The 13675-nt window shown below is 38.1% G+C and overlaps 1 long non-coding RNA gene across 1 annotated transcript; it reads right to left on the bottom strand.

Annotated features, from left to right (window-relative positions):
* Window positions 1–423: 423 nt before the first annotated feature.
* Window positions 424–13197, bottom strand: LOC107986943 (uncharacterized). Its single transcript, XR_001745899.2, has 3 exons — window positions 12876–13197; window positions 4501–4597; window positions 424–538 (listed from the first exon to the last, which is right to left on the bottom strand). It is a non-coding gene; the product is annotated as an uncharacterized LOC107986943 (long non-coding RNA).
* Window positions 13198–13675: the final 478 nt, after the last annotated feature.

Here is a 13675-nt window from a genome sequence, read left to right as displayed (position 1 = left end):
AACATGGATGAATCTCAAAGTAATTATGCAAAGCAACAGAAGCCAGTCCAAAAAAATAGAGTATATTCTATATGATTGTACTTACATAAAATGGCAGAAAATCTAATCTAATCTATTGTGACGGAAATCATATCAGTTTTTTTCTTGGGAAAAGGGATGGGAAGGGGAGTAGGAAAAGGAGAGACGGGGAGAGGACTAGAGGGACACAGGGAAACGTGTTGCATGTTTACTACAATATCTCAACAAAGCTATTTTTTAAATAACACATGGAAAGCCAGCAGATGGGACTTAACTACTTGAGGCAAGAAGGTGAAACTGAGACCCCTGTATATGCACAAACCCCAGTGCAGAAAAAGTCCCCCAGCAGTTCAGAGCAGAAAAGGAAAATTATACCTAGCTTAGTTGAAGGAAACAAAATCTTACCCCAAAATGAATACCTGAGCCTTTTATTTCTAATGAGTCTGGAGTCCAGATCTGCATTACACATTTGTTGCAAGAATCTCCATACCTTGAAATCAGTGTAAATACTGCTCTCCACCTGAAATCACAGCCACAGTTCTGAAGTTGGTTTTGTGTCTTTTCCATCCATGCTTTTATACTTACAGTACATTTTTTAATCCAAAGTATATTTAATATTCCTTTGAGTATTTTAAACATTTACATAAATATTATCATCATCTACCTGTGCTTCTTCACCTTGCTTTTATTCAGATTTATCTATTTGGTATGTCGTTATTTAGCTTTTCTTTTTAACCCTTTATGGTATTTTTTATTTTGCAAATACCATAGCTTGTTGTTTTAAAAATATTTTTAACTCTACTCTTGGCCACTTTTATATTTAATATTCTTATTTGTACTTTACTTTTTCTTAATATATTTTGCCAGAGGTTTGAAAGGACTATTTTAAAAGACTTCTCTAAGATTGAGCTATTTGTTTTGTTGATCCTATTCTTTATTTTTTATTAAAATTTTAAAATAATTTTTTCTTTCTTTCTTGGGCTTTTACTTTGCTGCCTTTCCAAATTCTTACAATGATTGTTTCAATGGTCACTTTTTACTTATTTTTCTATCTGCCTCAAAGTACCAATTGACCTATATCTTGAAAGTCTTATATGCACTGTGGCAGTCAGATCTTTTAAAAAATTGTCATTTTCCTTATTTCTTTTTTATCCATAAGTTATTTTGAAGTTTTTTAAAAAAATTATGTCACATGTGTTTTGACTGTCAATAGTGTTAATAGCAACAGTAATGATTACTATTAGAACTACTTTTCAGTGTTGTTTGAGAATTAAAAGAAAACGAATATAAAATACAACAGCACCGAATACTTAAAAGAACTTGATAAACATTAGCTATTATGACACAAGCCCTCTCTAATCTCATCTTCTTCCATTTTTTTTTACTTTATTTATTTTGCTCTAGTCAATTTGGACTTTTGTGTCCTTCAAACATTTAGGACTTATTTCTATCTTTGCAAAGGCCTGAGGGTAGAAATAAGCTTACTCATTCTTACTCCTCTGCCTAGGATACTCTTCACTTCCATCATCACACGGAGTTTGGGTTGTTTTCTCATGTTTAATGAGGAGAGCTTTAGAGCGAGTCTGCACCACTTACTAGCTGTGCAACCTTGCATAAATCACTTAACCTTTTTATGCCTCATGTTTTCCAACTCTTAGATTACTTTGAGGATTTAATGATAGTACAGGTAAAGAGTTAAGAATACTGCCTTGATATAATAAGTATTCATTACATCTTTTCTTTGCTCTTGCTGTTACTACTATTATTATAGGAGAAAATTGAGACAGAATAAAAGTAAATCACTTGTCCATAGCACGTCATTGGGTTGATGTTATACACAGAATTGAAAAGCCTGTCTTCGCTTTCCATCAAAGCCACTATGCTATTTTTTGGGGAAAATTTGGCAAAGACTGTCTCTGTCTTGATGCTCCTTCATACTCTCAGAAGTAAAGTACTAAAACCCCAATTGTGGATTTTGACATTTTCCTGTATATGTGATATCTGGTTATGATTTTAGGATGCATATGTAAGTCATCACATTAAATGATGTTTGTGTAATAATGCTAATAGGAAAACTCAGGAAAAATACTCAATTCAAAGTCAGAAACATCTTTTGGTCAAAGTATTAAAGTTCTGTTTCATAAAATGTGCAAAGTGAAAAAATACAAGAAGGAGACATCTAGTTCACTTTGACATGTAAAAAGTTTGGGAGTCATCACTCATGTCCTCATAGCAATGGCAAAGTTGGGCTCTGAAAATCACCAACTGTTCTTAGATCCACCCAAAAATTGAGGATGGAGGGCAAGCCACCAGTCCAAAACTCTACAGAGAGAGAGATAGGTGGATACAGAGGATCACAGCTGACAGGGGGTGGAGGCACAACTAAGGCCAGCAACTGGTTGAAACACTGAAGGAATGATTGACCAATTGCTGAAGAATGAGCATGGACTAGATTGAGAGAGAAAAACTTCTGTGGGCACAGCCTTAGGAGGTCCCCACACTTTTATCACTTTTACCACCAGGAATCCCACCAGGTTCTCACTATGAAGATAAAATAAAAATTCCTTCCAGCTTCCTGCATGGGGAGGGGAAAGGCAACAATTTTGAAATACATCCAGAGCTTCTGTTCTTCTTAGCAAAGGCTTGCCCTCAATGGAAGCTACTTTACCAGCCTAACTCATGTGGAGTAAGGGAAATACCCAACTTCAGCCTCTTCTAACCTTCATCGCTAGGAGAGGGAAATACCTAACTCCAGCCTCTCCAGCCTTACTGACTCACCTAAGACGGTTAGAGGAGAAGCTAAGAAGTATTTGTTAGGGTCACCTCTCCAAATGCATAGGTTCACTAAAAAACAGAGATCTAATCAAAGGACTATAGAATGCCTCTTCTCCCTCTACATTTTACTACCATGTCATTGGAGCTGCTTCTGTATAATAGCAGGGAAATATAACTGAAAGAATTGCATGTCACAGATGCTATTTAAGGAGAGGTCACTAGGGAAACCCATAAACAACAGAGGAGACAAAAACAAGGGTGATAGAATAAATTTTAGCTTCTGACACCTATAGCTACAACAAGCAGTAAATGGAGCCTAACTCCTAGCCAGATTAAGTTTAAAACTTCATTAACGAAAGTTCCCTTCGCACAACACATCATGTTTGGATTTTAACAAAAAATTACAACAGACACCAAAAGACAAAATACAGTCTGAAGAGGCAAAGCAAGCATCAGAATTAGCTTCAGATATGGCAGAGATTTTGGAACCATCAGACTTGGAATTTAACTACAATTAATATGCTAAGGGCTCTGACTTAGTTCAGGCTGCTACAACAAATGGTTGCAGAACTTTTCCTTAGTTCAGCTAAAGATGGGATCCTTGTCTGTCCCACGGCCATGAAAATTTAGGCTTGCAGATGGTTTGAAATATGAGTAAAGCAGGGTTTTATTGGGTGGAAAGGGAAAAAAGTGGGGGAAACAGGGATCCTCTCCAAGGCCAGAGTCCCTGTTAGAGTGCTTCCCACCCGCAGCTCAAATCCCAGGTTCCAAAGAGGAAGAGGAGGAGCCAGGCTCCTCCCCACTGCAAAGGGCATGAACCTCCTGAGGCTCCACCCCAGTGCACAGGACGGTTGGAGTTTTTCTGAGGACCTCCTCCAACCTGGCTCTCTCAAAACTACTATGGTTTGGGTGGCCTAAACAACAGAAAGTTTCTTCTCACCATTTTGGAGGCTGAAAGTCTGAGATCAGGGTGCCAGCATGATTGAGTTCTAGGTGTGGACCCTATTCCTGATTTACAGATGTCCAACTTCTTGCTATTCTTACACAACAGAGAGAGAAAGTGGTAAGATCTATTTCATTCTCTTCTTACAATGGCACTGATCCCTAACCCTCATGACCAAATTACCTCCCAAAGGTCCCCACCTCCAAATATCATCACACTGGGGATTAGAGATTCCACATATAAATTTGGGACAGGAGCACATATATTCAATAGGCTCTAATGGACACAGTAGATATACAGAAGAAGAAATACCAAAGAAGATATACAGATGGCAAATAAGCTTATGGAAAATGGTCAAAGCTCTCTATCTTTAGAAAGTTGTAAGATAGGTAATAATGAGATACAGCCACATACCTAATACAAAACCCTGACAACACCAAATGTTGGTGGACAAGAACTCTCATTCATTGCTAGTGAGAATACAATGTGATACAGCCACTTTGGAAGACAATGTGGCCATTTCTTACAAATCTAAATATAGTCTTATAATGCCATCTAGTAAATGTGCTCCTAGATATTTAGACAAATCACTTAAAAATTTATGCCCACACAAGAACCTGCATGTGAATGTTTATAGCAGCTTTATGCAGAATTGCCAAAAGGTGGCAGCAACCAAGATGTTCTTCAGTAGGTGTCTGGATAAACAAACTGTGATATATTCATACAATGGAATATTATTCAGTGATAGAAAGAAGATATCATACCATGAAGAGACATGGAGGAAACTGAAGTGTATATTGCTCAGTGAAGGAATTTAGTCAGAAAAAGCTCCATCCTGTATGGTTCCAACGATATGACATTCTGGAAAGGCAAAATAAAGAAGATCAGTGATTCCCAAAGTTTGAGGGAGCAGGAGATGGGGAACAAGGAGGGATGAATAAGTAATGCACAGGAGATTTTTAGGGCAGCAAAACTATTCTGCATAGTTCTGTAACTGTGGATACTTGATGGTATGTATTTGTCAAAACCTGTACAATTGTATGACACAAAAAATTGAACCCTTGTATAAACTAGGGGCTTTAGTTATTAATAATATATCAATATTGGTTCATCAATTGTAACAAATGTAAGACATTAATTAAAGATGCTAATGGTAGGACAAACTGTGTGTGTGAAGGTAAGTGATTGCAGGGACAAGATGGGAATTCTCTGTATTTTGTGCTCAGTTTTTCTGTAAACCTAAAAATGGTCTAAAAAGTGAAAGTCTATTAAAAAGAAAAAGAAATTGGAAGCCCTTCCCAGAAATCTGTAAATGTGTTTAGTTAATGAGTTGCTATGAAGCATAGTGAACTTATATTTAGATATATTAGAAGACAGTCCATACCATTTATGTTGTCATGATTTCACTGATTTTACAATACTGGAATTGTAAGCCACAGAATGAATTCCAAGTAAAATGTTTTAAATGTATTCATCAGTCAAGAATCGTCAAAGCTAAATCCCACTAATTGCTTTATTATATGCAATTTCAGTGCCAAGCCAACATTCAGATTCAAATATAAAAGATATTTATGTGATTTTTGCAATTGTAATTAGGGTCTAATCCATTTCTTTCATAAGAGCCAAAGGAAAGAGAGGTTTGATAAGTAGCCAGTCAATCTTAAGTTAAACATTTTCCTTAAGAAATGTATCATTCTATTGATTGTTGATCTCCTATGTTCATTACAAGGTTTAAACTTAGTAGCACCTCCAACCAATAGCCTCAAGATGAAAGAACTTCTCAATTGTAAGGAAATGACCTTTTCCAGCCCCTATGAATCATTTTCTGCTTTTGCTGTTTCTGAAGGATTAGTCCCACATAGTCAGCTGTTATTTTTTCTATGTTAATAAATCATTTTCACTTAGAGAATTTAAGTTGGAGGCTAAAACAGGATTAAATAAGCCACTCTGATATCAGTTCGTCTTTATAGCTTAGAAAGATAAGATGATGAATACAAATTGGTCAAAATACCACAAAATATATCTTCATATTGGAACCCTTTGTGCCAGGAGCATCATTACGACTGAGTAATGGACAATAAAGGTACTGCCGGGCCCAAGTGACAGGGCAGAAGTGTGTGCATGATGTGGTTCTGTTTACACAGATGTTCTTCAGAAGGCATTTCACATAATAAAATAAGCTGCAACATTTATCTGAGTTCATTTTTTTCGGGACAAAGCCACTTAGAGCAGCTTGGTTATTACTGTTTAAAAATGAAATGTTTTTGATGACACTAAAAGGATGACAGCACTTTCCAATTTCTGCACATTGTACTTCTGAAGGCAGCGCTAAAGGGAAAAATGATCACAGCAACGTGGCCACTGAGTTTATTAATAAAAGCCTAGGAGAAAACGGATTCCTCTTTACCATCTTAGAAGGCAGGCCAGGAGCACAGGGAGTCATGTAACAATAGATTTAAATTCTTCAAATATAGTACCTACATGGACTACGCAACAGTCAACCACGTCATGGCAAACTGCACCTTATTAAAAGTTGGTTAATGAATAGACCGCCTAGAAGAGGCTGGATGCTTCTCTGACTGGGCTGACTCATCAGTACTTTATTCACTAGAACTAATGCTCTGATATTTCATTTGAATATTGGGTTTCTTATCATTTTTATGTCTTCTTTCATCAAGCCAGTGGTAATACTTCCAAAAGTTTATAAATGTTCCATTTAAATTCCCGTGGTGTCATGTATTCATCTTCCTCACTTCTTCCACTAATAGTTGCCTCAAGCAGTTCTAATTTCTCAGTCAGTAGTAGTTTAATAATTCATTTCCTTTAGTTCCCGATGGCCTGGTTAAAGTTCTAGCAGAATTGCCTACAAGAAAATATTACCAAAATGTTGTCTGAGATTCATCCAGCTCAGAGTGTGGAGGGAGATGCATCACAGTCAACAATCATCAAGTAACTATAATGCATAAGATAATGTGTAGAGTACCAAGAAATACAACAATAAGAAAGCAGATACTGTATATGGCAAAGGAGCTCTGAAAGATAATGGTAGACAATAAGTGAAAATGATTAAAGATAAATAACTTTCTTTATTGCATATCCTTTTAGAATCTTCAGTATGCTCATGTAAATCAGGAAACTCCAAGACAAAGAGCAGTAGACAAAATTCTTTAGACTTAATATGTCCTAAGAACACTTCTCTATGTGAATGCTTCCAAGGGACTAGTCTTCTTCAGAACACACTTTAGAAAAATTCCATCCCAGATAAAATGCTGTGATAAAGGCAAAGCAGCATTCAGGCAAAGTCTTGTGGCAGTCCATTAAAAGGAACTGTTCTTGTCAATTGGGAGAAATCAGGGAAGATGTCATTGAGGATGTGGCACTGTAGCTAGTTCCTGAAGGATATAGAAAATGAGGATAAGGACAGTTCTATTCAGACAATATATGTGCAAAAAGATGAAGACACAAAAGCATATGGTTGTCTGGGAAAAGAGAAATTTTGACATTTCTTGTCTACAAGACTAGAAGAAGGATGATACCATTTACAGATGATAGAAAAAAAGGAAAATGAAAAATTTGGCCAGAAAAAGCTGGAAGATGAAAGGAGTAGTCTGTAGAAGATAGAGGTGAAGAATTATTTTAGACTCATTATATTTGTGATGAAGACGTTCCTGGTGAAAATTTCAAGAGAAAATTGGAAATTTAATTCCAGAGATTAGAAGAGATCCCAGAAGAGACAATAAAGATTTTGAATATCTTTTCCTATAAAGAGCATCAAAAGGTATGGGAATAGATAAAGTAGCCTATTAAAGATCAACCCTTGGTGACATTAATGATATATCCCAGAAATCAGATTATTTGCTGATGGTATAAAAATCATGACCATCTTTCTAGTGGCAGAGAATAAGATTTCTGACCCTAGAATATGTAAGCATTTTAAAGAGGAAGTGACTGAGTTTACATCTTAAAACATACAACACATTCAAAAAGCCCTCAAAAATTATAATAAAATTGAATCCTAATTATTTGATTTCTCAGACATCTCTCATGTTATTTGAAACAAGATAGGTCTGCCTTGACCAGACTGACATGTGGCCAGAAATATTACTGTACATCAATTCATGGGCAAAAGCTAAAGGATTGGCTGAATGGTAAGCGATGTGCAAAGGACAGGATTGGAAGACTGGTGACAGTGAAGTTTGGGAAAGAGTTACATAGATAGGTCTCTCAAAATGGACATAGATTGTGAAGATATTTGTGTCTGTATTAGTTATCTATGCTGTATATTTACCCCCAAAAAAACTTAGTGGCTTAAAACAACAATCCAATAATGGCTTAGCTGGCCCCTTTGCTTCATGGTCTCATAAGATTGCAGTTAACGCATCAACGAGGTCTGCAATCTCTAGTGAAGTCTTGAGGGAAAAGAGCCACTTCCAGGCCCACTCACATGGTTTTGGCAAAGATTCCATTTCTGAATCTGAAGACCTTAATTCCTCACTTGCTGTAAACCAGAGGTCACCTTTGATTCCTTGGCAGATAGCCCTCCCTCTCTATCAGGACAAGTATGCAAACAGAACCAGAGAGAGAATACCAGTAAGAGAAAAGTCATGGTCTTTTAGAAACTAATCTCTGAAGGGACACACCATCACTTCTGCTATATTTTATTTCCCGGAAGCAAGACACTAGGTTCAGCACACACTTGGGGGAGGGAATTACACAAGAGCATGAATGTCGGGAACCAGGCATCATCAGGCAGACTGCCTACCACAATGTCTCATATGAATACTCATCAAAGAGCATTCTCTGCAATGGAGGATCTCAATAATCAGGTGGAAAAATGATGACTTCTATGGATGCTGGCCAGCCTCTTTCACCAGCACCACGGTACTTATGAACCCAAGAGCAAAATGTCCATGGTGACAGGAATGGAGGCTATCATGGGTTCAACAACATGGATTTCTCTTTATCAAGGCTGACCTGGATGCTGCTACTGCTGAGTCTCTAATCAGCCAACAGCAGAGAGAAATGTTTTAGCCCCAAATATGGAATCATTCTTTTAGAGGTACAGCCAGCTACCTAGTTGCAGGTTGATTACACAGGAGGCTCAACATGGAGGAAGTAAAGATTCATCCTCACTGGAAGTTAACTTTTTAAGTTAGTCTTTGGGTAGAGGGTTCTCAGTGGAAGATGACTAAATTTGAGGAGTAACTAATATGTTCTGTGACAGTTGCAGTGACTATTGGGACTGTATGTCTCCTCATTTGGAGGAAAGGGTAAGAATGTCTTCACTTGTAGGAACAATAGCCGCATCTTGTTAGGTGAAAAGGTAAAGGTGTTTAATTGTCCTATGGGAGTCTAAATGCCTGAGGAAGTGTGCATATGGAACCTGAAAAGGGGTGCATGATACAAGTTGTCATTTCATTGCCTGTCAGCACCAAATCCCTCCTTCTCTGCCCAGTGTTGCAATACTGTAGTTAGATCCTATAAATATTTCTCTTTTGCCAGCTGGCACAGTGTTAGACTTTGTCAAAGCAAAATGAAGTTGCTTCTCTTCTTGATTCCAGTAGGCTTTTTTCCTATGGTGTGGCTGCCACATTCACTGAGTTTCTCTGCCACCAGCACTTTACTAACTGTGGAGCTGCAACCTATGTCTGCGGGAAGAAGTTTCCTCCCTCCAGGCGTGGCAGGTGCTCCTGGCAGCCACTGCCTCTCTGATGAGGTCACATTCAGCCTTGGGGAGGGCCCTCTTCCAAGCTGTTTATTTATTCCTGGTTTACTCTGTCTTAGGCCTGTTTCCTTCAGTTGCTATTTCTGCATTCCTTAGAGTCTTTTTTTTTAAACCCTCTTTTAGTTGTTTAATAGTTTTTCTAGTTAATACATGTTAGTACTGAATGTCTCCTGGGAGACAAAATCACCCACTGCTCCGAAGAACACTCTTGAGAACCACTGCTCCAAAGCCTGCATCTCACAGCAGCTGGTGTAATCCTTTACAAAATAAATCATTTGGAGTCCTCCCTGCTCAGAAGCTTCTGCAGTCTTCCTTTACAACGAGAATAAAATGTAAATTCCTCTTGCAGGCTAGCAAGACCTGCTGTGGTCTGGCCACTCCCTCTCTGCAATTTCATCTCCTATCACCCTCTTCACTGACTTCACACCAAAGCTCAATCCTTCTTAGTATTTGCAGTGGGTATTTTCTATCCCTGTCATGCTCTTCCCAAATTCTTCTAGGGAATGGCTGCCTCATTTTATTCAGGGTTGTCTTCAATGCTGCCTTCTGAAAGAAGCCTTCTCTGAACACTCGATCTACAGTGACACCTTTCTACATCTCTCTCTCCCCTTATCCTGCTCTGGTTCCCTTCACAGCCCCAGCTGATATTACACAATATTTTGTTGTTTGCATGCTTATTATCTACCTGACCCATTAGATCTGCCAGAGGGAAGAGACTTGTACATCGAATCCAGAAGAGTACCTGGAATAGGCCCTTAATAAATATCTGTTGAATAAATAAATGTGTGATTTCATAGTATTTCTTGACACTATTTTGCTCAGCACATTTATAATATAGAACCAAATAAACATGTACATGTAATGATCAACTCTTCATTGATATGGCCTCTAATTTTTAACTTCTGGGTTTTTAAAATTTTAGCCATAAATTTATGAATAAGGATGTGGGAGAGTGAATTTCAGATTTTGACACAATGATTTTAGACATTGTTTTTAATGTTTCTCTTATCCTATGATTTTATTTCTCAATAATATTTCAACTGGAATAATTTCATTTTAGTTCCTCCAACTGTCTTTGACTATGTGGTTCTTATATATGAAGATATTTTCACAAGGGTGAAAGCACTAACAACAGCAACCAACAGAGGTCAATTTAAATCCAAAAACCAAGGATGCATCCCAAAAGGCACTTTCATACAGTTATTCTTGGAATTGTATGAAATTCTGTGTCTTCACAGTGAAAACAAGAAAGAACACATTTCTATCTCTATCAGTAATATTATCAATGTAAATAATTCATCTCAAATTCTCACTTGGTGAGCCTTCATAAAATCATGGAAGTAAGGAATGTAGTCCAAATTTTTTTTTTTTTTTTTTTTTTTTTTTGAGACGGAGTCTCACTCTGTCGCCCAAGTTGGAGTGCAGTGGCGCAATCTCGCCTCACTGCAAACTCCACCTCCCGGGTTCACGCCATTCTCCTGTTTCAGCCTCCCGAGTAGCTGGGACTACAGGCGCCCGCCACCACGCCTGGCTAATTTTTTCTATTTTTTTAGTACAGACGGGGTTTCACCGTGTTAGCCAGGATGGTCTCTATCTCCTGACCTCGTGATCCGCCCATCTCAGTCTCCCAAACTGCTGGGATTACAGGCGTGAGCCACCATGCCAGGCCCAAAAAATATTTTTATAAATTTTATTTTCTGATTGGATTGTGCCTTTAAAATTACATTTTTCTTTTGTATTTCATCAAGGTCTTGACATAGCCAACTAAGTTGTGATGACTGAACTTTACAATTAACACAACATTCTCTTCTCAGGGCATCACAGTTGTATATTTTGCTTCAGAGTTATGCTCCAGAAACATACACAGGTGTGGTGGCTCACGCCTGTAATCCCAGTAGCTTGGGAGGTCAAGGTGGGTAGATAACCTGAAGTCAGGAGTTCGAGACCATCCTGGCCAAGATGGTGAAACCCTGACTCTACTAAAAATACAAAAATTAGCCAGGTGTGGTGGCAGGCACCTGTAGTCCCAGCTAGTCAGGAGGCTGAGGCGGGAGAATCGCTTAAACCCAGGAGGTGGAGGTTGCAGTGAGCCGAGATCACTGCACTCCAGCCTGGGTGACAGAGTGAAACTCCATCTAAAAAATAAATAAATAAATAAATAAATAAATAAATAAATAAATAAATAAATAAAAGAAAAGAAACAGAAACACACTCAGATAACTAAAAGCCAAACCCTGTAATTTCTGCATTTCCAATACTCTGTAATATAGCACTTGTGCCTTTTTAACATATCCCAGTGGAGCCCTAGGAGACAAAACTTTTTTCAGGAAGAAAAATGGCACATTATCAATGAACCATGGAATCACACACATAGCCTTGAAGTGCAAGTGGCTGTTTCTGTAAGAAGTCCTGATCCTCTCAGCTGCTGAGGATGTGAAAGAACCTGAACCTATAGCAATTTTTAAAGAGGTAATTAAGTTAGAATCACCTATAACAGTTAGCAGTGAACAAAATATGGAGCTTCATAATATGCCATTAAACTCCAAAAGCCCTAGTTGTCAATAACGAAGTCATGAGAAAACACCTTTGCTAAACACCGGAGAATACTTTCATACTCTTTCCCCAAATCTTCATTTTTACTTCTTTGGAAGCTATTACATTTTAAATAGAAGATAATAATTTCCCATAAGTTAACACTAAAACACAGTGTGTTCATGTTTTCATAATATGATGCTTTTTGTGTACGTACATGGTTGTTTGTGATTGCATTTGTAGTGTGTGTTTATTTGCTATCCAGATTCTGTCAGATGTTTGGTAATGTAACAGTTAAAAGGAAATGGACTTCATACTCCCAGCCCCAACCACCTCTCTGTGCTGGTGACACAGCACTCAAGTCTGCCACTCAGCCCAGCTCATTCCTGCTAAGTCCCTGCGTCTGTGCCCTCGTGCCTACTGGCCACCTTCTTTTCCATATCCACTGGCGGCTCTCACCCAGCTTTCCACAGCAAACTCATCACTTTCCCCATCCCTCAAACCTGATTATCATATTCTCTTTATGAACAGCACCAACAGAGATATGCAGTCATCCTGGCCAGAAACCTCTCATACCCAAAGTTCCAATCAGAACTACTGCTGATCCTGACTCCTAAATAAACTCTTGAATCCAAAACCTCCTTTAACTTCCCACTAAACCAGCCGAGTTCATGTTTTTATCATGTCTTGCCTAGAGCATTGCAATAGCTTTCTTAATTTCCATATTTCCACTTCCCCAGCCTGTTGTCCCCATTCACTACTTTATATTGCTGCCTCAGTATTAGCTCTCACACCCAAATCTGATGATATCATTTCCCAATTAAAATCTTCACACTGAATTATGTTACTTATAAGATAGAATTCATATACCATCAGCCATACCTTAACTCCTTACAGGTGTAGGCACTCCACCTCCGGGTCCTCATGACACTTGAATCTCTTCTCCACAGCCTTTTTCCCCAAGACATGTTTTTAACCCCTCCATGTTTCCAGCTAGACTGGGTGCTGACTGAAAGAGGTGAGTGTAGCCTTCATTTCTATTTTCACTGCCAAGTGCACAGTACAAGCTTAATAAATGTTTAATGAATGAATCAATAAATGAATCAAAGGATGCTACTGAGTTAATGAAGAACCCTCTCAGGTAATGTTTGTTGTTTAAAGTATTTCAAAGATGTTTCAACCCAAGGAAAGCCTCTAGGTTTTCAGTTACTGGGCTGGCTAGTGGAAAAATACAGTATTTGGAAGCAAAGATGCCTCTGATGGATCCTCAGTCAAAGCATTTTTGTGCTGCCTGTGATCTATATGCTTAGAAGTGGTCCTGGATATGCATCATTATTCACGGTTTGTCCATCATCATTCTTGGCCAACTGAGTCACTTGTGAGGTTGGCCATTTTTACAGCTTAACTCTATCACCATGTCAGCTTGGCTTGCAGATAATTTATGTACAACCCAAGTTTCTGTAACTTAAAGGTCACAGAACTTTAATAGAAGACTAAAGGCTATTATCATTTATCTGCTTTCTTTTATGGCCCTATGTGAGTGACACAGAGATAATATTGATAATTCATGGAGGTTCTTATTTAGGTACTTAGAATACAATGCTGAGAAGTGGAAAAGGTATAATAAGTTGACATAATAACCATGGCATCTGTGTGGTAATTTACTGCTCAGATTGTGCCAT

Source organism: Homo sapiens, chromosome 8, assembly GCF_000001405.40.
Source record: "Homo sapiens chromosome 8, GRCh38.p14 Primary Assembly".
NCBI lineage: Eukaryota > Metazoa > Chordata > Mammalia > Primates > Hominidae > Homo > Homo sapiens.
The sequence above is the reverse complement of the archived record's forward strand: the minus strand, read 5'-3'. Positions and strand labels throughout refer to the sequence as shown.